Source organism: Homo sapiens, chromosome 3 (genome assembly GCF_000001405.40).
Source record: "Homo sapiens chromosome 3, GRCh38.p14 Primary Assembly".
Taxonomy (NCBI): domain Eukaryota; kingdom Metazoa; phylum Chordata; class Mammalia; order Primates; family Hominidae; genus Homo; species Homo sapiens.
The window spans coordinates 153,481,532-153,504,505 of record NC_000003.12 but is presented as its reverse complement, the minus strand read 5'-3'; the positions used below and the strand labels follow the sequence as shown (position 1 = coordinate 153,504,505).

The 22,974-nt window shown below is 36.7% G+C and overlaps 2 long non-coding RNA genes across 2 annotated transcripts in view; one reads left to right on the top strand and one right to left on the bottom strand.

Annotated features, from left to right (window-relative positions):
- LINC02006 (long intergenic non-protein coding RNA 2006) overlaps positions 1–22,974 on the top strand; it is a 378,977-nt gene that overhangs the window by 258,021 nt on the left and 97,982 nt on the right. The gene's annotated exons all lie outside the window — the stretch shown is intronic.
- Positions 1,809–20,011, bottom strand: LINC02877 (long intergenic non-protein coding RNA 2877). Its single transcript, NR_160966.1, has 3 exons — positions 19,818–20,011; positions 18,401–18,491; positions 1,809–2,103 (listed from the first exon to the last, which is right to left on the bottom strand). It is a non-coding gene; the product is annotated as a long intergenic non-protein coding RNA 2877 (long non-coding RNA).

The window sequence follows — 22,974 nt, the reverse complement described above, 5'->3', positions numbered from 1 at the left end:
TTTGGCTCCCTGGTATCTTATTCAAGTTAATCTAAAGATACATTCTCATGATTTACTTCTTTTAATCAGTTCACAGGTCCTTTACTATTGAGTGGCTAGGGCATATGTGTAGCTTTGGAATTATATATGTAGCACAAACTGCTTAAAACCCTAGATCTTTTTATGATATTACAATAAACACAGCAACTTTAAAGTAAAAGAGAGATCAAGAATTTAACATAGGGAGAAATGCAAACCGTGTGGCTGGTATTTGTGAGTAACTGAGGTCTATATAAAAGAAAACATGAAGCGACAGAAGGAAACCTGCTACTGTAGTGATGGGTATAAAAACTCTGTCTACCACTTTCTTTTATCAACTCTGAAGATCATTAGTACGAGTATTACCATCCATCTTTCCTTAGAAATTGTTACTCATTCATGATGACGCTGATGATGCTCATAACGATGACTAACATTTACTGAGTACTTATACGCCAAGTACTTTGTGAGCAGGTTCTCTTTTAATCTTCACAATAATTTATATAAAACTATAAAACTTCCATTTTTATCTATGCTCTGAAGTCAGATAATCCTTGCTGAAACCGCAGTTTGAACTCAGACATTCTGACCACAGAGTTCACATTGTAAATCACTAGGCCCTATTATATCCCTTATTGAAAATTGAATCCAATAGTTCTGCTCTCACTCTGTTTCCCTGTCTATTCTCCATGTACTATGTCTTCTTAGTCATAATCATTCATAGTCATGCAGTCTTACGGATGGGAGTTCCATCTCTTTTTTGACAATCCTAAGATCTTTTTTTTTTTCAACCTGGATCCTGCCACTTGAGCTCCAGACTTCTGTATTGACAATTCCAGCTGGATTTCTAATAGATATCTTGACTTAATCATATATAAAACCAAATTCCTGGTTTCTTCCTTTAAACTCTCTTCATCAGTATCTGATAAAATGGCAACTCCACTCATCTAGTTAACTAAAAATGTTAGAATCTTCCTTGGCCAAGCCTTTCTTGTACACCCCAAAATTATACTTCTGAATGCATCTAGATATTTGACCACTTCCTCACCTCCACTGCTACTCGTGGGGACTAGTCCCAGCCACCATTGTCTCTTGCCTGATTAACTGTAATGGCTTCCTAGTACATCTCTCTTCTATCAATTTTGCCCCAAAATGGCATAGAGAAGTCAGGAGTCTTTTAAAACAAGTTATATCATTCTTACTTAAAAACCCCTTTAAAACAGAAAGCATGGACTTCTCATCTCACTCAGACCTAGACCCTGACATCAACTCTGATCTCTTTCTCTCCTTCTCTCACTCTACTTAGCTATAGCATCCTCTGTGTACTCGAGGCCTACTCCTTCTATCTTGAGTGATCCTTCTACAAATATCTGCATGGTTAGTTCCTCTGATTTCTTCACACCTCTGCTCAAATGCCAAGTTTTCCCTAACACACTAAAATAAGAAAATTTGTTCCCCAAACTCCCCTTCTCCCTTAACCTGCTTCATTTTTCTCCATAGTATAAAATACCAACTGATTTACACTTGCATCTCCCCAGTTAAAGTGTAGGCTCCATGACTGCAGAGATTTTGTTTGGCTTGCCTCCATATCCCCAATGCCCAGAGCTATGCCTAGCACATAATGTTTGTTGAATAAATTAATAAATTTACACTTCCACTAGTAGTGTATGCGAGGGCCTGTGTCATCAACTCATCCCCAAGAGCATGAATTTTTATGTTACTTTTTCTTAACATGAAAAGTAATTCACTGTAGAAAGCAATTCTCTATAGGAAAGCAGTAAAGTCAGATATATATTTGAAATGAATTTTGTTTTTATTTGTGACCAAACAACTAATAATACACAGCACTCTCATAATTAGTATAATTACTTAAAATATGGAGAAATTAAAGCATGCAAAAGTTTTTCAAAATTCAGCAGTGTTCTTATTAGTAACTGATGTCATTTACACTTCTCTCTGGGTTGCCCAGGCCTCTCATTATGTTATTCCAATGGTAGGGCAGATGTTACAAGTGACTGGCATCTGTTTGATACTGGTTTGCAAAGGAGCCTCTCTGTATTTCAGTTCCTCCTTGAATCTTCTTTCCTGTTTAATAAAAGAGGGACTTTCAATAGAATATCAAAGGGAGCAGAGAAAGCCAAGCACAGATTATGCATACTCAATCCTCAGAAATAGCTTTTCTTCATCACCAACCCTTTGGCATGGGAAAGATCACAGAAATTTTTCTTGTTGCTGATTTTTCTCCCTAAAGTTCCTAGCCTTCACATTTACAAAGAGGGAGTTAAGATTGTAAGTCAAGAGTAGAAAGAATTTAACATCTGCAAAGTCAGGCCCTATCTGGAAAAAAAAAAAAATAAGTGTAATAATGATTAGATCATTCTGTTAATATTCATCATAGAAATTTAGGCAATTCCTTCAAAAAATATTTAACTCCTTTTTATGTATAAACCCCTATTCTGGACACTGGAGCTAGATATGTTTCCTGCCTCATAGAGCCAACAATCTAGCAGGGGAAACAAAGCAAATCACAAATGTATGCCAATAATTGATACAAATTAAAATTAATCACATTAAGACATACAGGGTAAATATTGGCTTCACCAATAAATTAAGTTGTAAAAGTTCTATAATATGAAAGTCTGAACTAAAAGGGCTTGGATTATGAAATATATTTGTGACTTAAAGTTAAGAAATTGAGAAACATATATTGAAATAGAATCCATATGAAAAGTATTATTAAATCACTCTCTAAACAATCCGTAACCCAAACCTTAGCATCACACAGTATACCATATAACAACCCTGCATCCGTCCCCCTGAATCCAAACAAAAAATCCTTGGCATGTTAAAATAAATCATTCTCCAGATCAGTAATATCAATGGGAGGAAAAAGATGAAAACTATAGACATTGTGCTATTAGAAAAGATCATCATGATTATAAACGTTTCTTCCTCAGATAGGCCCTTTCTAGTCATGTTTCTTCCATTATTCTCTATCACAGCAGCACCCTACTTGTTTCCCTGTGGACACTAATCGTAATCATTTGAGATATATATACATATATATAGTTTATATATCATATACTAATTTGTTTGCATTGCTTATTTGTTGATTATCTGTCCCTGTAGTAGAATACCCCCTTCTAGAAGGCAGGAACATTGCCTACATTGTTCTTTTTTCTATCTCCAGCATAAAGAACAGAGCTGGCATGTAGTTGATGCTTAATAAATATTTATTCAATAAATAAATTCTGATAAAAACATAAAGTGAGCCCATTATATCAGATTCTTACTCTGCATAGATTTTATTGAATGTGTGTCAAATATGATATCCTCAGTGCCTTTAAGATATTTTTTCTTATAAAACATACTATACAAAAAGAATTCGTAAGCATCTACCCAAGAAAATGCCTCTCTCCTGCACTTAACCAGTCCTACAAATCAATTAGTACCTTTGTAGGCTCTGTTGGTGAAAGTAATTCCTTGCATTTTAAGTAATACGTAAGAAAAATGAAATCTACCTTTTTTAAATGATCATTCACAATTTTTAAAAACAGATTGTATGTTTATCAAATTGTTATGTTTTCACTGTAAATCAAACTGAAGCAGTAGTTTTGATCAGCATACCACATATAAATGAGAACACAAAAATAAGAGAGGGGAAATGAATTATAATTCTATTTTGCTGCTTCTTATAGAGTATGTACATATTTGATATTAAATATATAGATACAGATCACACATATATCTTTATTTTATACATGTAAAATACTTATATTATAAGAAATTGGCGGCTGGGTGCGATGGCTCACGCCTGTAATCTCAGCATTTTGGGAGGCCAAAGGGAGTGGGTCACCTGAGGTCAGGAGTACCAGACCAGCCTGGCCAACATGGTGAAACCCCATCTCTACTAAAAATACAAAATTTAGCTGGGGCATGGTGGTGGGCACCTGTAGTCCCAGCTACTCGGGACACTGAGGCCGGAGAATTGCTTGAACCCAGGAGGTGGAGGTTGCAGTGAGCCGAGATCACGCCGCTACACTCCAGCCTGGGCGACAAAGTGAGACTCCGTCTTTAAAAAAAAAAAAGAAAAAAAAAAGGCTCATGTGATTTAGGAAGCTAGAAAGTTAGAAGATCTGCAGTAGGCAAATTGGAGGCCAAGGAGAGCCAAATGGTATGGGTTCTAGGTTGAGTCCAAAGGTATGAAAACTAGGAGAGCCAACAGTACTAGTTCCAATCTAAGAAGTGGTAGGGTTGAGACCCAAAAAGAGGCAGTTATTCAGTCAATGAGTTTAAAGATAGGAGAAGATTGATGTTTCAGCTCACCCCGTCAGGCAAGAGAAGTTCTCTTGTACTTAGCCTTTTTGTTCTATTCACTTCTTCAGTTGATCGGATGAGGCACGTTCACATTAAGGAGGGCAATCTTCTATACTCAGTCTACCAATTCAAAAGTTAATCTCATCCAGGATAACCTTCACAGACTCTCCAAGAATAATGTTTGATCAAATGTCTGGGCATCCCATGGCCCAGTCAAGTTGACACAAAATTGACCATCATAGCTTCTCAGTTCAGATACCTCGTTAGTGAAACTTCCCTGTCCCTGTAGTCTAATTTAGTACATTACCCTCTCTTGAATTGCTTGGGAGCACAATATCCTTTTTTGAATTCTTCAGAATTCTCACTTTCCAAAAGCATTCTATTTTAAAATAGATGTTATTGACAGAGGAAAATGTTAATGACAAAACATTAAGTACGAGAAGCAATTATGTTTCATTTGTGTCTCAAAAAAGGCCTTCTTATATATTTAAGGTGAATTAAGGTGCTGCTCTAGGTGTCTTTGATTTCTCTTCTCTGCCCACTCACCACCCACTCAGCACAGCGGAGGCCAATCCAGCAGCCACTGCAGCGGCAAGGCCACCTTAGCCTCAAAAGTCAGGGAATAAGGGGCAGGCTTGGAGACTCATACACTGAAACCTGTTGCCTCTCCTGTATTTATTATTATCCAAGAGCCAGAAACCGCATGTCTAGTTTAAATACATACTTATGTATGTATTCATATAGGACAGTATTTAGCAAGCTCACAATAAGAGGTTATATAGCTGAAAAAAAAAATGAAAATAGAGGGGGAAAAAAAGACCTTGTTCAGATAACTTTTCTTTTTCAAAATAAGAGGTTTTAAAGTCACAATCAGGCCAGGTGCAGTAGCTCACACCTGTAAGCCCAGTGCTTTGGGAGGCCAAGGTAGGAAGATAACTTGAGGTCAGGAGTTCAAGACCAGCCTGACCAACATGGTAGAACCCTGTCTCTACTAAAAATATAAAAATTATCCAGGGGTGATGGCATTGGCCTGTATTTCCAGCTACTCTGGAGGCTGAGGCATGAGAATCACTTGAACCTGGAAGGCGGAGGTTGCAGTGATCTGAGATTGTAACACTGCACTGCAGCCTGAGTGACAGAGCAAGACCCTGCCTCAAAAAAAAAAATCATAATCATAATACTGTATGTAATGTGCTATAAGCAATTTTGAGTATATTATAGGGAATAGAAATTATTACTATATAACTCATTAAAACATTCACAAAGATATATCTTATTTAATAGTTCTTTTGCTCTATTTGGTATTAAACATATGTCTCACCAAAGCATAGCTGTACAAAATTTTATAAGCAAAGAATTACATTTGTATTTGCAAATACTAATCAACTGGCATTATATATATATATATATATATATATATATTTTTTTTTTTTTTTTTTTTTTGAGACAGAGTTTTGCTCTTGTTGCCTAGGCTGGAGTGCAATGGCACGATCTTGGCTCACTGCAACCTCCACCTCCTGGATTCAAGCGATGCTCCTGCCTCAGCCTCCCAAGCAGCTGGGATTACAGGCACACACCACCACGCCTGGCTAGTTTTTGTGTTTTTAGTAGAGATGGGGTTTTACCATGTTGGCCAGGCTGATCTCAAACTCCTGACTTCAGGTGATCCACCTGCCTCGGCCTCCCAAAGTGCTGGGATTACAGGCATGAGCCACTGAGCCTTGCCCAATCATATTTTACAATAGTTGAGTGAATAAAAATAAATTTAGAAAAGTTAATATAAAAACCAACAAATAGAATTATCAAAATAAGGAAGAGTCAAGTCCCCGCAAATTAGAGATTTTAAAATAATGATTCCTAAATTGGTTGAAAGTTTAAAACATTGCATACCTAAATGACACATGATGTATTTTATGCCGTAAGAATAATTGTTTGATTTGTAAAACAATTATTTATGAATACAAGTAAGTATTTAAAGCAAGATGATTACTTTTAGATATTGCTTCTCAAAATGTCCTATTGACATTTCTAGTTCAAATTTAAGTTAAACTGATTTCCAGGTGTTTTAGACCTGTGCTTTCTGGCTCTTAGCTAATAATAAGCGTAGAAGAGACAACAGGTATTAGTGTATGAGTCTCAAACCCTTCCCCTCATTCCCTGACCTTTGAGGCTTAGGAGGCCTTGCTGACGTGGTGGCTGCTGGCCTGGCTTCCACTGTGCTGAGCGGGTAGTGGGCAGGGAAGAGTAATCTAAGACATCCAAAGCAGCACCTCACTTCATCTTTGAGGAAGCCAAGAGTGTTTCAAGTCAAAATAGGTAGAAGGAGAGACCCTCAACGGACAGGAGGAGAGGAAGAGAGAGAGATGAGTTGATGCTGATTGAACTCAGCGAGAGCTGAGGGGAGAGGGAGGAGGGAGAATGTGGTGTGGCTACTGAGCCACATAAGAATCAGAAGGAAAAGGAGGTGGTGAAAGGGGATGTTAAGATAACTGGTCATGTTACTTTCCAAGAGAACTCAAGAAAACTTTGAATTTCTTACGGTGCATTTATTAGAATGTTACATTTCTTTGCATGTGGTACCATGTAGAAGATGGGTCAGGCAGACTGCATTTATATGGGAGGATGAGAGCTATGCCCTCTATTAAACAAAAACTTATTTAAGATTTTTATAACTTTAAGTGCTAAACTAATCATCTAGTGTCCAAATATCATCATCAAATACCATCATCTCTACTTCTAAACATAGCTCAAACCTGACCATTTCCCATCCCTTCCTCTTCTAACTGCTGCATAATCTTGACTCGTCTCCTCTTTGATGTTCATCTTCATATTGCTACAGAAGCCAAAGCAATTCTTTTTAAGTGTAAATCATATTATCAATCTTCTGACATTTTCCCTCCAATGGATTCTCATCAAACGCAGGATAAAATCCTCACCAAGACTTCTAAGGCTCTCCATGAGCTATGTCCTTTTGAACTCTACATTCTTCCCTTTCTTGTTCACTTTCATACACCACCTCTGTCTAAAACAAGTTCCTGCTCATCATTTTCTCAATTCATACTCTTTCTATATTTCTTCTTATAACACCCATCAGTACCTAAAATTATATCTTATATTTCTCTAATTTTTTTCTACATCCCCTTCTATAATATGCACTCTATAAGGACAAGGACTTTGCTCTGTGCACAGCTACTGGTCCACTGCTAAATTAATGCCTTTCATTCTGAGGTTGAATTAGAAAAGCCAGAAATTAAATGTTATTAAATAATCAGTTACATGTGTAAGAATAAGGCCAGGCACTGTGGCTCATGCCTGTAATTCCAGCACTTTGGGAGGCCAAGGCAGGTGAATCACTTGAGGTCAGGATTTCAAGACCAGCCTGACCAACATGGTGAAACACCATCTCTACTAAAATACAGAAATTAGCCAGGCATGGTGCCTGGTGCCTGTCCCAGCTACTCAGGAGTCTGAGGCAGGAGAATCACTTGAACCCAGGAGGCAGAAGTTGCAGTGAGCCGAGATTGCACGACTACACTCCATCCTGGATGACAGAGCCAGACACCATCTCAGAAAAAAAAAAAAAAAAAAAGAGGTGCTAATAAGAATCCAAGACAAGTAAACAATTTAAATTGAACCTAAATTAAGTTACTTCTTTAAATTTCAATAATACCATTAAACAGAGCCTTGATACCATTAAACAAAGAATTGATGATTCTACAACATTTGACTTTTTTTCTCTTTAGTGTACTTTTTTTCTCTTTAGTGTACTTTTTTGGAAAGAAAAGCAGTAAATATTAAGTGATATCAGGGAGAGAAGGGGTTAGAATCATACAGAGTGAAGAGAAAATGAGACAGAAGATGTAAAAACAAGGAGGCAGAGAATGAGGGAGAACTGTATTATTGCATGTGTGTGGTGGTCTTCAATTAATCATTCTCCACATTCTTCATGGAAATACAGTTCAAGGACCTTAGTTTATGAAGTCCCCCACTGTTAGCTCCCCAAATGACTGTGGTCTTAAATGTACTAACTAATTACCTCAAAATAGTGACTTAATATCATATCACATTTGATCATATATAAAATGATGGAAGATTTAACATAATTGTGGTGAAGAAAAATGGTTCTCAGGTAATGTTTAAATGTCAAAAATTTTATATACAAATATTTAAATACATTTACGTTCATTGTTTCAATTCTGAACATTCCTCCTTCTCCTCAGCCTTTGTTCTGATTTGTTGGGAAATGAAAAAGATTAACCTCATCAGACATATTTTTCCCCGAGTTTGCCTACAGCTAAACCAGATGGTTTATAAAAATATAATCATTTCTCAGAATTCTTAACTGAAACTTTAATAAGAAAGATAAATGTGCACTTAAGAATAATCATACAGTATAATTATATAATATGCATTAATGCCTTTTTAAAAAGTACCATATCTATTTTAATTTTGATACCTAATCCTAAGTGGATTTTAACAGCTAGATATTTTCTTGTCAGTGTCTGGGTCTTGCTCTTGATCTGTTTCTGCTTCTATAGAAGGAAGAGCTCAGCTGGAAACCTGTCATTTACTCAGTGTCTTACTGTCTTATTGCTAGAGCTTTGCTGCCCTTCCTACAATATCCTCTAAGTGTACTTTCCCTTTATTCTTTCTCTTTCTCTTGCCTGTGAATCTTCACTTTTTGGAAGTTGCTTCATGTTTTGCACACCTTGGCTGTTCTCTGGCAGGTCAAAGGTCTCCTGCCTGTGTTCACAATCCTCTGCATTCCCCATCCTATTAGAGTCTCGGCACCTGTCCTAACTCTCCTTGTTCTCCCTGAATGAGCTTCCCTTCCCATTAAAGCGATGTGCTCTGTGAACCCTGGCACCTAACCCTCTACAGACATCACAGTCCAGGAGGTCTTACTTTCTGTACAGGATCAGGAACAGTTTTGTCCTTTTTCTGATACAGTTTCCTCCCAGATGCCATCAGGAACATATTTATTATGCATTTATTGAGAATTTATCATGTGCCAGGCTCTGGGTTTCTCAACTAATTCTTACAATAATCCTCTGAAGTGAGTACAATTCTCAGCATTTACAAATTATTTGTTTTTCCATAATCTTTGCTAGAAGTGACAGGAATAAAAGTACACCAAATATCTTTGGTAGCTGGTTTCAGAAACCAGCTGAAAGGATCTAGCACTTCTTTTTTTTTTTTTTTTTTTAATTATACTTTAAGTTCTGGGATACATGTGCAGAACATGCACGTTTGTTATATAGGTATACGTGTGCCATGGTGATTTGCTGCACCCATCAACCTGTCATCTAGGTTTTAAGTCCCACATGCATTAGGTATTTGTCCTAATACTCTCCCTCCCCTTGCCCCCACCCCCAACTGGCCCCAGTGTGTGATGTTCCCCTCCCTGTGTCCCTCCCAGTGAGTGAGAATTCACACTTAGGAGGGAGAACATGTGATGTTTGGTTTTCTGTTCCTGATCTAGCACTTCTTAAACTCTTTTTGCTTAAGGTTTTTTTTTTCTATTTCAACTTTTTAATTTCTAGATATAGTTTTTGAGAATGCTATGACCCATAAATAAAATAAATATCTGTGGCTTCTCCTTATTTGACATTTTATTCTACAGCATAGTGAAATAAATTCTCATTAGTTTAAAAGGCACACATTAAAAGAATGACACTGCTAGATTTAACTTGTTAAAGCAAATGAGTAATAAAGTGTAATTTAAATATATGCATAATGTTAGGCGCCTACATAGCCTGGTTCATTCGTATCCTAATTACAAATGATTTTTACTTACTATATAAAAAAATACATATATAACATAAACCAATTGAAACACATATTGGAAGCCTATTCCAGGTACAGTGTAATTCTGACACTGGGGTTGTAAAAAGGCTAAATATTTTAAAATTTGTTCTTGTAATTTTTTGCTAATACTAAAAATATTAACTTTAATTAACCAGAATTGAGTTTTTACTATAGCAATGACTAAGTAAGATTAAAACTATGATAAAACAACCAAAATAAAATTGCATGTAGTGCAAAAACCTTTTGATATAGTAACTACTTTTTTTCTCTATATTTTTAACTACATTTCCTCCTTTAAGCAGTAATAAACAGTAAGAATATTCAGTACTTATTCTCCTCTGGGAAGGGATGACACAACGGAAACAATGGCAGGTAAGGCAAATTCTTGACATTTTTTAAAATTTGTATTTTTAATTGACAAATAATAATTGCACATACTCAAGGAGTTCGTAGTGATGTTTCAATACATAGAATGGACAGTGATGTGATGGGTAATACTGAGTGTCAACTTCATTGGATTGAAGGATGCAAGTATTGTTCCTGGGTGTGTCTGTGAGGATGTTGCCAAAGGAGATTAACATTTGAGTCAGTGGGCTGGGGAAGGCAGACCCACCCTTAATCTGGTGGGCACAATCTAATCAGCTGCCACCAAATATAAAGCAGGCAGAAAAACATGAAAATGCAAGACTGGCCCAGCCTCCCAGCCTACATCTTTCTCCCTTGCTGGATGCTTTCTGCCCTCGAACATCAGACTCCGAATTCTTCAATTTTAAGACTTGGACTGGCACTCCTGCTCCTCAAGCTTGCAGACAGCCTATTGTGGGACTTTGTGATCATATAAGTTCATATTTTATAATAAACTCCTTTATATATCTACTCTATTAGAGATAGGGTACATATTAGAGATAGGGTATATCCTTCATATACCTACCCTATTCTATCCCTCTAGAGAACCCTAATACAATATGATTAGGATAATTAGCATATTCATCATCTCAAGTATTCATTATTCTTTGGATTAGAATGTTCAATATCCTCCTTATAGCTATTGGAAACTATATATTAGTTTTGAATATAGACATCTTACAGTGGTATAGAAGTAGAATTTATTCCCTTTATCTAGCTATAATTTTCTATCCTTTAACAAATTTCCCCCTATTCTTCCCTTCCTTCTACCCTTCACAGCCTCTGGTACTCTCTGTTCTAGTTTTTACTTTTATGAGACCAACTTTTTTTAACTTCCACATATGAACAAGAACATGCAATGTTTAACTTTCTTTTTCTGGCTTATTTCATTTAACATAATGTTCTCCAGCCCATCCATGTTGCCACAAATGACAGGTTTTCATTGTGTTTTATGTCTGAATAGTACTTCATCAGATATGTATGGTGTATTTTCTTTATTCATTTATCTGTTGACGGAGACCTAGGTTGATTCCACATCTTGGCTATTGTGAATAGTGCTGCAATAAATGTGGGGGTGCAGATGTCTCTCCAAAACAATGATTTCCTTTTCTCTGGATAGATTCCCAATAGTGGGATTCCTGGGTCATAGGCAGTCCTATTGTAGTTTTTTCAGGAAACTTCAAACTGTTCTTCATAGTGGCTGTACTAGTTTGCATTCCCAACAACAGTATGTAAGAGTTTCTTTTTCTCCACATTCTTGTTAGCATTTGTTATTTTTGTCTTTTTGCTAATAGGCCATCCTAACTGGCATAAGAAGATACCTCATTGGGGTTTTGATTTACATTTCTCTGATGAGCATTGTTTCATATATTTGTTGGCCATTTGTATGTCTTTTGAGAAATGTCTGTTCAAATTATTTACCCATTTTTTAAACTGATTGTTATTTTTGCTGTTGAGATGTTTGAATTCCTTGAATATTCTGGATATCAATACCCCATGAATGAGTAGTTTGCAAATATTTTATCCCATTCTGTAGACTGTCTTTTCACTCTGTTAATTGTTTCCTTTGCTGCTGTGCAGAGCCTTTTTAGCTTGATATAATCTCGTGTGTTTATTTTTGTTGTTGTTACCTGTGGGTTTTTGTTTTTTCTTTTTTTTTTTTCCTTTTTTTCTTTTTTTTTTTTTTTTGAGACAGAGTCTCGCTCTGCTGCCCAGGAGTGAAGTGCAGTGGCACAATCTCCACTCACTGCAAGCTCCACCTCCCAGGTTCAAGTGATTCTCCTGCCTCAGCCTCTTGAGTAGCTGGGACTACAGGCGTGTGCCACCATGCCCAGCTAATTTTTGTGTTTGTAGTAGAGATGGGGTTTCACCATGTTGGCCAGGCTAGTCTCAAACTCCTGACCTCAGGTGATCTACCCTCCTCAGCCTCCCCAAGTGCTAGGATTACAGACGTAAGCCACCACGCCCAGCCTAGTTTTTGAGGCCTTAACATAAAATATCTTCCCAGACCAATGTCCTGAAGAAGTTTCTCTGTTTTCCTCAAGCAGTTTTATAGCTTCAAGTTTTACACTTGGACCTTTTATCTATTTTGAGTTGATTTTTGTACAGAGTGAGGGCTGGGAGTTTACTTTCATTCTTTGGCACATGAATTTCAATTTTGCCAACACCATTTATCGAATAGATTATTCTTTCTCCAATGAGTGTTCTTGCCTTTGTCAAAAATCATTTAGCTATAGATGTGTGAATTAATTTCTCTATTCTGTTCCATTGGTCTATGTGTTCTGTGGTCTTTATTCTGTTCCATTGGTCTATGTGTGTGTTTTTATGCCGATACTATGCTATTTTGGTTACTACAGCTTTGTAGTATATTCTGAGGTCTGGTAGTGATACTTCCAGCTTTGTTCTTTTTGCTCAGGATTACTTTGGCTAGTCCTGGTCTTTTGCAGCTCCATACAAATTTTAGAAAAAGGCCATTGGTATTTTGACAGGGATTGCGTTGAATCTGTAGATTGCTTTGGATGGTATTATCATTTTTACAATATTAATTTGTCTGATCCGTGAGCATGGGATGTCTTCCCATTTGTTTGTATCCTCTTCAATTTCTTTCATCAGTGTTTTTCAGTTTTTCTTATAGAAGTCTTTCACATCCTTGATTAAATTTATTCCTAGGTATTTTTGTAGCTATTGTAAATGTGATTGACTTCTTGATTTCTTTTTCAGCTAGTTTGTTGATTATGTATAAAAATGCTACTGATTTCTATATTACTTTTGTATCCTGCAACTTTACTGAATTTATTAGTTCTAAGAGTTTTGGGTGGGGTCTTTAGGTTTTTCTGTATATAAGATAATGTAATCTGCAAACAGAGACAATTTGACTTCCTCCTTTTCAATTTGGATACCTTTTATTTCTTAAATTACTGACTTTTGAAAATAAAAAGCCAGGGACCAGGCATAAGGGAAGATGATCTAGAATATATGACTAGCTCAAGCCTGTTTTTGCTGTCCCTGAGACTAAATAAAGCATGCTAAATAAAGGGTTAAAAGAAAAGAGAGGGAAAAACACAAGAGTTAGATATTGGTCAGAAAGGAATCTATTCCTTGTCCCCCATCTACAGGCAGACTGCAGGACTAGTGATGTAGAGGTGATGGACGTCTCAGAATAACTTTGTCTCACTTTCCAAGTGCACCCCAGGGTTAGGGCTGGCCTCACAGCATTCCCTTAAGCCCAGGCAAACAGGAGTAATTGCTGTGGAGTGTCCAATCAGACAGCCTGAGATAGTCTAGAAGTCACTTGCAACTCAATATGGTGGGAAGGGTAGCAAAATGTTTTTTCATGTGGTTATGAGTAACTCAGATATGATACTGGCAGTGAGAAAGGACAAGGAGATGCAAATGGGACCTGGATGAACCCGTTCTAAATTATTATAGAGGAAGAAGGGTGATACTTATGTTCTTTGTCTAGTAGAACCAGGCCTACCCATTAGTAAAAGCTCTGGTGCTGTATATTTTCCTGGGATTTTTTAAGAAAGAAGCCAGACCAGTCTCTATTCTGTTTCTTATTAATTGCCGACACAGCAATGCCATCCTCCTCCAATGCCACATTACCTCTAATTCTCATGAAATTTAACCAAAAGGATCTAAACATTATAGAACACCCCAAGGACCCCAAGCATAGTCAGCTTACTCATCTTAGTTTCTGCTATAAGGAATATTACAAACCAACACAATGAAAAAGTAAAATTACATTTAATTAAAAATTAGGTTTTACATGACAAATCACAACATACTGGCACACTCCAATCAAATAGGTTATTTATCTCTAGTGAGGAGTAAGTAGATAACAAATGCAATTGTGAATATGTGCATCGGAACACATGAGCAAAATGCTCAATATGCCGATGATATCTACATGTAGGAAATTGTGAAGAAATTGACTTCATTTTGTTTAATCTGTCCTTTCTGAAGAAATGAAAGTCTAACCCCACAAGAACTGGGGTTAATATAAAAATGTTATGCCAATAGCCTTAAAAATATCAGTTTATAGTAGAAGTAAGAATTAATAAGTCATAGAAGGTTGATCTGCTCAATTGCAAAGTGAAGCCTTAGGCCAATTATAAGCCCTGTGGCACCATTTCATGCTCTGTAATGTACCTAGAAATGACCTGAAATACTTTTAAAGTAGAAAAATGCAAAGCAAATAATTTGAGAAATTGAAATGAACACTTTAATGTAAGTGACAAGCACCTCAATTACATAAGGAAATTGATTATAAATCACAATTTACACACATTTAACATAGCACTATTATACATATATTAATGTGACTACAAAATGTAATAGGCTAATACTCCCTGCATGGAACTTGAGACTAGTAGGAATGGGAAAAACCAGTGAAGAGTTGCAAAATAATATAAGTTATATACAAATTATCCAGCAGGAAAGAGGGAGTATAACATGATCAGATTTACATGTTCAAAAATTCACGCAGTGACTGATGGATTATTGAACTGAGGCAGACCAATGGTCGATATAGGCAGAAAAATAGAAGCCTATTATAGTTGTCCAGGTGAGAAATTCTGGTTGTAGAGGTGGAGGGAAGAAGGTAGGTATGAAAGAGATAAGGAAATAGATATGACTGAACCTAGTAACTGAATGAACTTGAAATTAAGGAGGAGTCCAGGAAAAACGTAAAATTCTGGCATGGGCTACTGAGCAGTGTGGAGAAAGAGAATTAAGGTTTTTTTTTGGAGATGTTGAGTGGAAAAAATCTGAAGTACATACGGGTGAAGCTGTCCAAGAGGAAGTCATATACATGGGTCTAGAATTTAGCTTTACCTTTAGGTCAATGGATAGAAATTTGGGGCATTTTGCAATCCAGAACTGGAATATGAATTTGACTTTATTTATATTCTGTGGGCTAAATATATAACTAGTGTAGTGCAGGTAAAGAGCCTGGGCATCAAACACAGAGCACCTGGATCCTAAACCCAGCTCTAAGACTTACTAGCTGTGTGACCTAAGGGAAATTTCTGACCCCTTTGTGGCTCATTTTATCATCTCTCAAATGGGAAGGGTTACTATAATTACTGCCACACTGCATAGCTGTGAGGAATAAGTGATTGAATACATATAAAACCCTTACTGCTTAATAAATATTAGCCATTAATGTTGGGTTAAACAAAATGAAATTGTCATTTTGAAAGTCAGAAACTCAAATATTGAAATTTCATATGATTCAATTTCAGATCTGTCAGTGCATAAATCTTGTGGCATTTTCCTGTTTCCCAAATTCAGCCTCACCTGTAGTAACTCCATCTGCTCTACCTTGGTTGATATAAACAGGTGCCACAAGTCATCTGAGAGTATGGATTGACTAAAAATTACTATATGGTAATTCTTGAAATAAAATTTCAAACTTCTGTTTGACTTTCCTCATAACCTCTGACATCCTTTCAATTGTGGAAGTGGAATGATCTTATTTATTTTCATTGCAAAATGACAAAAATACCCTGGTAATTTTTCCAGAAATATGCGCTTTGTTTAAACAGAGTTGTATAGTGAAGATTATCATTAGTATTAGCAACCTTGGAGAGGATTCATATATACTATCTCTGGGAGAAAAAAAAAAAAGCCTACTCTACCAACCAATCTCTGGGACTTAGCTAAATAATTATGGAACTAGAATTCAGGTCTTTATTCACTCACTTACCATCTGCTTCCTTTAGGCTATATTCTAAGTAGTTGAATCAAGAGATGAGAAACATGAACACAACATAAAAGATCCAGCTGACTTGAAACAGTATGCATTCCCATATTACTATATTTAAGAGCAAAAATAAACTTGTATACTGGTACTATTTCTATAAACCTGAATATTTTGATGGAGTCATTACTGCAAATCCTTTGTGGTTTGAGGTTCTATTCAGCACATAGATCATACAATTGTCAAAATCTAAATTGGGTAGCTAATCCAAATCTTGTCTATGTCTTCAAATCAATGCAGCAGTTAGAGTTCCAGCACATATGGCCAACAACTTCAGATGTGTGTTTAAAATGCTATAGAAAAGACCTGGGTGGGCAGGCGCTTTGTTGGATTTTAAGAGAAGGAGATTGTGAAGTATTTGCACATGCATTAAAAGTAAATGTTAGAGTATGTATATAACATTTAACAGGTGTTTGGCTTCTAAAAAGAAATAAAAGATAGATGTTACTTTGCAGTATATATAACAAGCAAATATTTTGGAAAGATCAAAATATAAATCTTTCCTATTGATCCATCTTTTGAAGTTTTGATATTCTGTTCCTCCTTATTCTTTATTTCTTCTGAAAAGTCTTTAATAAATGTTTCCCTTTCTTTAAAATAAAGGCAGCACCTTCTTTATAGGTACCATGTGATTGGAAATTTTTGTTATTTATTTGTGTTCAGTTATTCAGCCTACTTTTTTAAAAGCAAAGTTCAGAAATCTATCATTAAAAATTGAATGCCGAACCAAAAAGAATCTTTCGTTCATCAGATAAAGTTTGTTTCTTCTGTCTGTAGTAATGCCAGGCAAACAAAAAACAAACAAACAAACAAACAAACAAAGTCAATTGCAAAGTAATACTAGGAATTCTCTGACATGGGAATTTTTTTCTTTTTTTTTTTTTTTTGAGACAGAGTCTCGCTCTGTCGCCCAGGCTGCAGTGCAGTGGCACGATCTCGGCTCACTGCAAGCTCTGCCTCCCAGGTTCACGCCATTCTCCTACCTCAGCCTCCTGAGTAGCTGGGACTACAGGCGCCCGCCACCATAATTTTTTTTGTATTTTTAGTAGAGACGGGGTTTCACCGGGTTAGGCAGGATGGTCTGGATCTCCTGACCTCATGATCTGCCCCCCCTCGGCCTCCCAAAGTGCTGGGATTACAGGCTTGAACCACCGCGCCCAACCTGACATGGGAATTTTAATTGTGGCTATTTCACTAGTATGCTATATTATTTTGTTATAATCTTATTATTATAAGATTTATTTTGCTACATGTACATATAGACTATATCTGGATTATAAATGTCCCTGTTGTACATTAAAAATAAAGAGAAATATTTTAAAAGAGCAACAGCCTTTAAAAGCTTATATATGGTTAGATCTAATGTATGCAACTATCTACTAGTAGTTAATGGCTACTTCTCTGATTTTAACTAAGATAAAAGTATAACGATGACAGATAGATAAGATGTACTTTTTATTTTCTTCTCCCTTAATAATAAAACATATCTACAAAAACTCTAATATCAAAAACTCAAATACCACACTTAATGAAGAAGATTTTGATTCATTTCTATTCTAGGTAAGAATAATAGAAGGAGGGCTGCAATGAACACCATTATTCAGTATTTTCCTGGAGGTCAAAGATAACACAATAGCTCAAGGAAAAGATAAGAGATACAAGAAATGGAAAGTGTATACATTAGGATTTCAGCTGTATATACAGAAAAATCTTAAATGATAATAACTTAAATAAGATAGAACTTTCACAAAAAAAAGAAAGAGAGAGAGAGAAAGAAAGAAAAAGAAGAAAGAAAGAAAAGGAAAAAAAAAAGAAAAGAAAAGAGAGAGAAAGAGAATGAGAATCCAGAGGCTGGATTGATGTGGCAGCTTCACAGTGTTCAGGGACCCATACTTCTATCTTGTTGCTCTACGAGTTTTGCATATGGCCTTATGTTCAAGGTAAACTCCCAGACATTGCATTTTCATTCTAGGCAATTTTAGGAAGGAAGTAGTGAGGAAGAAAAGCTCACCTTTTCCCATTTAAGGAGGCTTTCCTAAAGTCCCACAAAACACTTTGCTTAAATCTCGTTGACCAGAATGAAGTTACCTGGTTGCAAAATTGCCTGCAAAATGTAGTCTTTTAGAAGAGTGGCAGGGTGCCCATATAAAATTGGCATTTGGGTTAGACAACCGGAAGTCTGTCAAAGAAATGAAAAAAAAATGTCATTACTTCTAGATATTATGATTGTCCACAGAGAGAAATGCAAAGGCACTCTGATATGTATTTTTAAAACTAAAAAGAATCTTCATCAACATTTAGATATATATACAGGGAGAAAGAACAAGATAAATATGTGTGAGCACATAGACGTGTGAAATATTTATTGCAGAATTTTTGGTAATATAAAAATGGAAACATTAATGTCTATTATAGGAAGAATGGATAAATAAATGATTGCATATTTGTTTCATTTATAAAATCAAATACTTGGCAATAGTTAAAATTAGTGAAATCGATTTACAAGTAATGACGATTAAGTTTCAAAAACATTGTTCACTTGATATATATCATTTATTTATTTAAAAAAAAATCTGTCACGCCTGTAATCCCAGCACTTTGGGAGGCTGAGGCTGGCAGATCACAAGGTCAGGAGATCCAGACCATCCTGCCTAACGCGGTGAAACCCCGTCTCTACTAAAAATACAAAAAATTAGCAGAGCGTGGTGGCACACGCCTGTAGTCCCAGCTACTCAGGAGGCTGAGGCAGGAGAACGGCGTGATCCCGGGAGGCAGAGCTAGCAGTGAGCCGAGATCATGCCACCGCACTCCAGCCTGGGTGACAGAGTGAGACTCTGTCTCAAAAAAAAAAAAAAAAAAAAATCCGAAAAACAATTAGTAAAATATTAACACATTAAATCTAGGTGTTGGGTATTCCCAGGACTGTGTCTGTTTTTGTACCTTATTATATCTTTGGTATCTTGCACATTATAGCCAAACACCATCTCATGTATTAGACATATTAGACCCGTTTTAAGATTGAGGAGACTTGGACTTTGAGAGATGAATTAATTCGTTCAAGGTCATGTAGTTACTAAGAACTGAGAATCAAATCCATGCCTACCTGATTCTAGAGACTCTAAAATAAGCAACTTCAGGAAGTATGATTTAGCCCTATTTTCAGCCACAAGTCTTCCGTCTATAACAAAGCCACAAACTGAAGCATCAGTTTAAAACTGTCCCTGATACTTGCTAAACTAAATACATCAAAAGGTAGGACCAGTTCAATATAATTTCAAAAGGGTTAAAAACTTTATAAGTCTATAAGAAATAGCAGGTATTTTGAAAACAGTTTGGCTAGAAAAGTAAAAAGCTAGAGATTGTTCAGAATAAGAGTGTTTAATAGGAAAGTTCTTTTTTTAAAGAGTAGAGTTGAAAGAGACAGGATGAAAGTGTAGATATGAAGTTGCCTATGGGGCTCAATAAGCAGAGAATGTCTAGGCTGAAGGCTAAATCAATGTTTTACCTTGTAAAGCAAACACTGATTTCTCTTGGATGAAAGCTCAGGAGTAGGCAGAAGATGGCAACTGAACATCCATGGAAATGTAGTAAATGCAAGTTGGATCCTGACCAGCTTCTGCAGATCACATACATGCATCTGTACTCCCCAGTAACTTTTCTGCTCCTACTGAGAGGCTCTGAGATGTTCCACAGTCCTTTCTAAACCCGAGGCAAAATCAGACTCACAAGACTGTGAGCCCCTCTGGGGTAGGAACCACACCATTCATATTTGTTTCTCTAAATCCTAATTCAGTGCCAGGCTTCTAGGAAGTGTTAACAAAGATTGGATAAGTAAATAAATGCAACTCATTATTCCATCCTATATTTGCTGAGTCCTCTGAAGTCTTTCCCCTCCTATTGATTCCCACTAACCAAAACTTAAGCAGACAATTTTTTCCCAAACTGTAATTGCAATATGATCCTATATGATTTTTTAACGTCTATTCTTTTCATACTCATTGATCCCACACACTTACAGGAGGAATTTTGTAGTAAAACTTTCCAATGACATCCAGTGGCTATTGGATAAGTTTCTTCTTTCTAGCTTGGTCACACTGCAGGCACATTTGCCTTCCCTTAGCACAGCGTACTCTTCCATGAAGCTTTGCATTTGTACATGCTGCTACTGCTGTTCCATCCAGCAAACTCCATCTAGTCTTTAAAACCCAAATGAAGCTCTTCTGTCAAGCTTTCTCCTAATCCTCCAGACACAGCCCTCTCTGTCCCAACTACTTTGTATATACTGCTATCTTACTGGTGATTGCACTGTAAACTGACTAATTTTTAATAGTTAACCACTGTGGGAGAGATGGACAAGGAAAATTAAAGATGATCAGGTGTGGTCTGTTTCTCCTTTAATCAAATATGGGCTGAATGTTAATTATGATTTGACCAGTAAGTTATGGCAGAAGGGACTCTGTGCCTGTTTGGGCCAACATTTAAGAGAACGGCAACTTCTGCTTTGGCCTCTCAGAATCCTAAACCACCCCCATAAGGCATTTGACTACCCTGAGAGCTCCATGCTGTAATGGAGTCCAAACTAATATGCTGAGAGACTGGGTATAGAAGAACTAAGGCCCTAGATTTGTGACCCAGCCATCTTACTTATTTGGGCCACCTCAGCTGAGGTTCCACACATAACAAACCATGCCTACATCTTCCTGCCTGAATTGCTGAGCCACAGAATCATAAACACATAAAATAGGCATTGTTTTATGCTACTAAATTTTTGGATCATTTGTTATGCATCAATAGATAATTAGAACAACCTTCAACATCCACGAGTATTTTCCTAGTTCTCTTCCTACCACATTAGCTGTTATGACCTCACATTCCTTTCTCATTGAACATTGAGATCTCAAACTTCTAAACCTTGTTTAACTGCACTGATTTCCTGGGGAAATTTCCTTCTGTATTAAGGCTTTAAATACCATGCTTATGCTTACGATTTCCTAATGTATATCTGTAGCTATCTCAGAAAATCCAGATATATCGTTACTTCCTTGACATACATCTCTATTTTAATGTCTAATAGGCAAATCAAATTAAGTACATTGCAAATGAACTCCTGATCTTCTTAACCAAAGCCGCAACTCTTGAAGTGCTCTCCATCTCAGTATATGTATTCAGAATCAACAAGTTGCTCAGAAAAACATCATAGGCATTACCCTTGATTCCTCTTTTTTTTTTTTTTTTTTTTTGAGACGGAGTCTCGCTCTGTCACCCAGGCTGGAGTGCAGTGGTGCAATCTCGGCTCACTGCAAGCTCCGCCTCCCGGGTTCACGCCATTCTCCTGCCTCAGCCTCCCGAGTAGCTGGGACTACAGGTGCCCGCCACAAAACCTGGCTCATTTTTTTTTTTTTTTTTTGTATTTTTAGTACAGACAGGGTTTCACCGTGTTAGCCAGGATGGTCTCGATCTCCTGACCTCGTGATCCCCCTGCCTTGGCCTCCCAAAGTGCTGGGATTACAGGCGTGAGCTACCGCGACCAGCCCTGATTCCTCTTTTCTTGCAGACCTCACTTCAATTTATCAACAAGCACTGTTGACTCTACCGTAAAAATATATTCCAACCTGAGTGATTTCATAAAACATAAGACAGAGTCAGTCCCTACAGTCAAACTGCCAACAGCTTTTCATCACGTTTAGAGCAAAATCTAAAATTTTTACCATTATGCTATATAATCTGGCTCCCAGTGACTTCTCCAACCTCACAGACTTTCTATTCATTTTCTGCCTCATTCTGTTCCAGTCACATTGGCCTTCTTGCTGGGCCTAGGCATGCCAAACAGATTCCTGCCTCAGGGTTGCAACGCTTTTTTCTCGTGTATTTTCCCTTGTCTTACACATGAAATTCACTGGGGTCTTAGTGAAAATGACATCCTCAGCGAGGTCCTTTCTGCAAGTCACATCTACAATAGAGACCCCTCTGTCGCTGGCACTCTCCAATGGAGTTGCTGTATTTTTCATCGTTGTACTTTTCACCACCTGAAATTCATGTTACCAATACATATTTATTTATTTGATTGCTTGTTTCTCGCCAACTCCAACTATTTGAGGCCAGGTACTTTATCTTATGTACTACTATATCCTCAGTCCTGGAAAAGTGCCTAGGCAAAATACATATTGCTTAACTGAATAAACTCAAAGAAGGAAGGAATCTTTAAATTCCTCAACTCACAGCCTTGAATATTTCTTGGTACAAATAATATAGTCAAGGAATATTTGTGAATGTGTTCAAATTAAGTCTGGAAGTCATTCCTAACAACTTATGTAGCTGTCTTCTTTCGAATAAAGTATTTAATCAGGCAGTATGTGAAAGCAAATTTTCATGATTTCTGGGTAGCAGATTTCTGATTTTCATCTTAAGTGTCAAGCAAATCTTAATATTTGATGTTCCTGTGGCTGATGTACTTTTTAAGTAAAGTTCACTTTGTTTTAATAAGTATACCCCAAAAAAGTGATGTTTGACTACCATGATTTCTTTTTTTGCTGAATTATTTGGGACAATAGATGAACCATGCATGGAAGTATTTTGAGGGAATTGTTTCTTACATTTTAAACATAAATCTGTTATAATAGAACAAGGGGAAAAATGTGTTCTCTTGAGACACATTTTCAGGA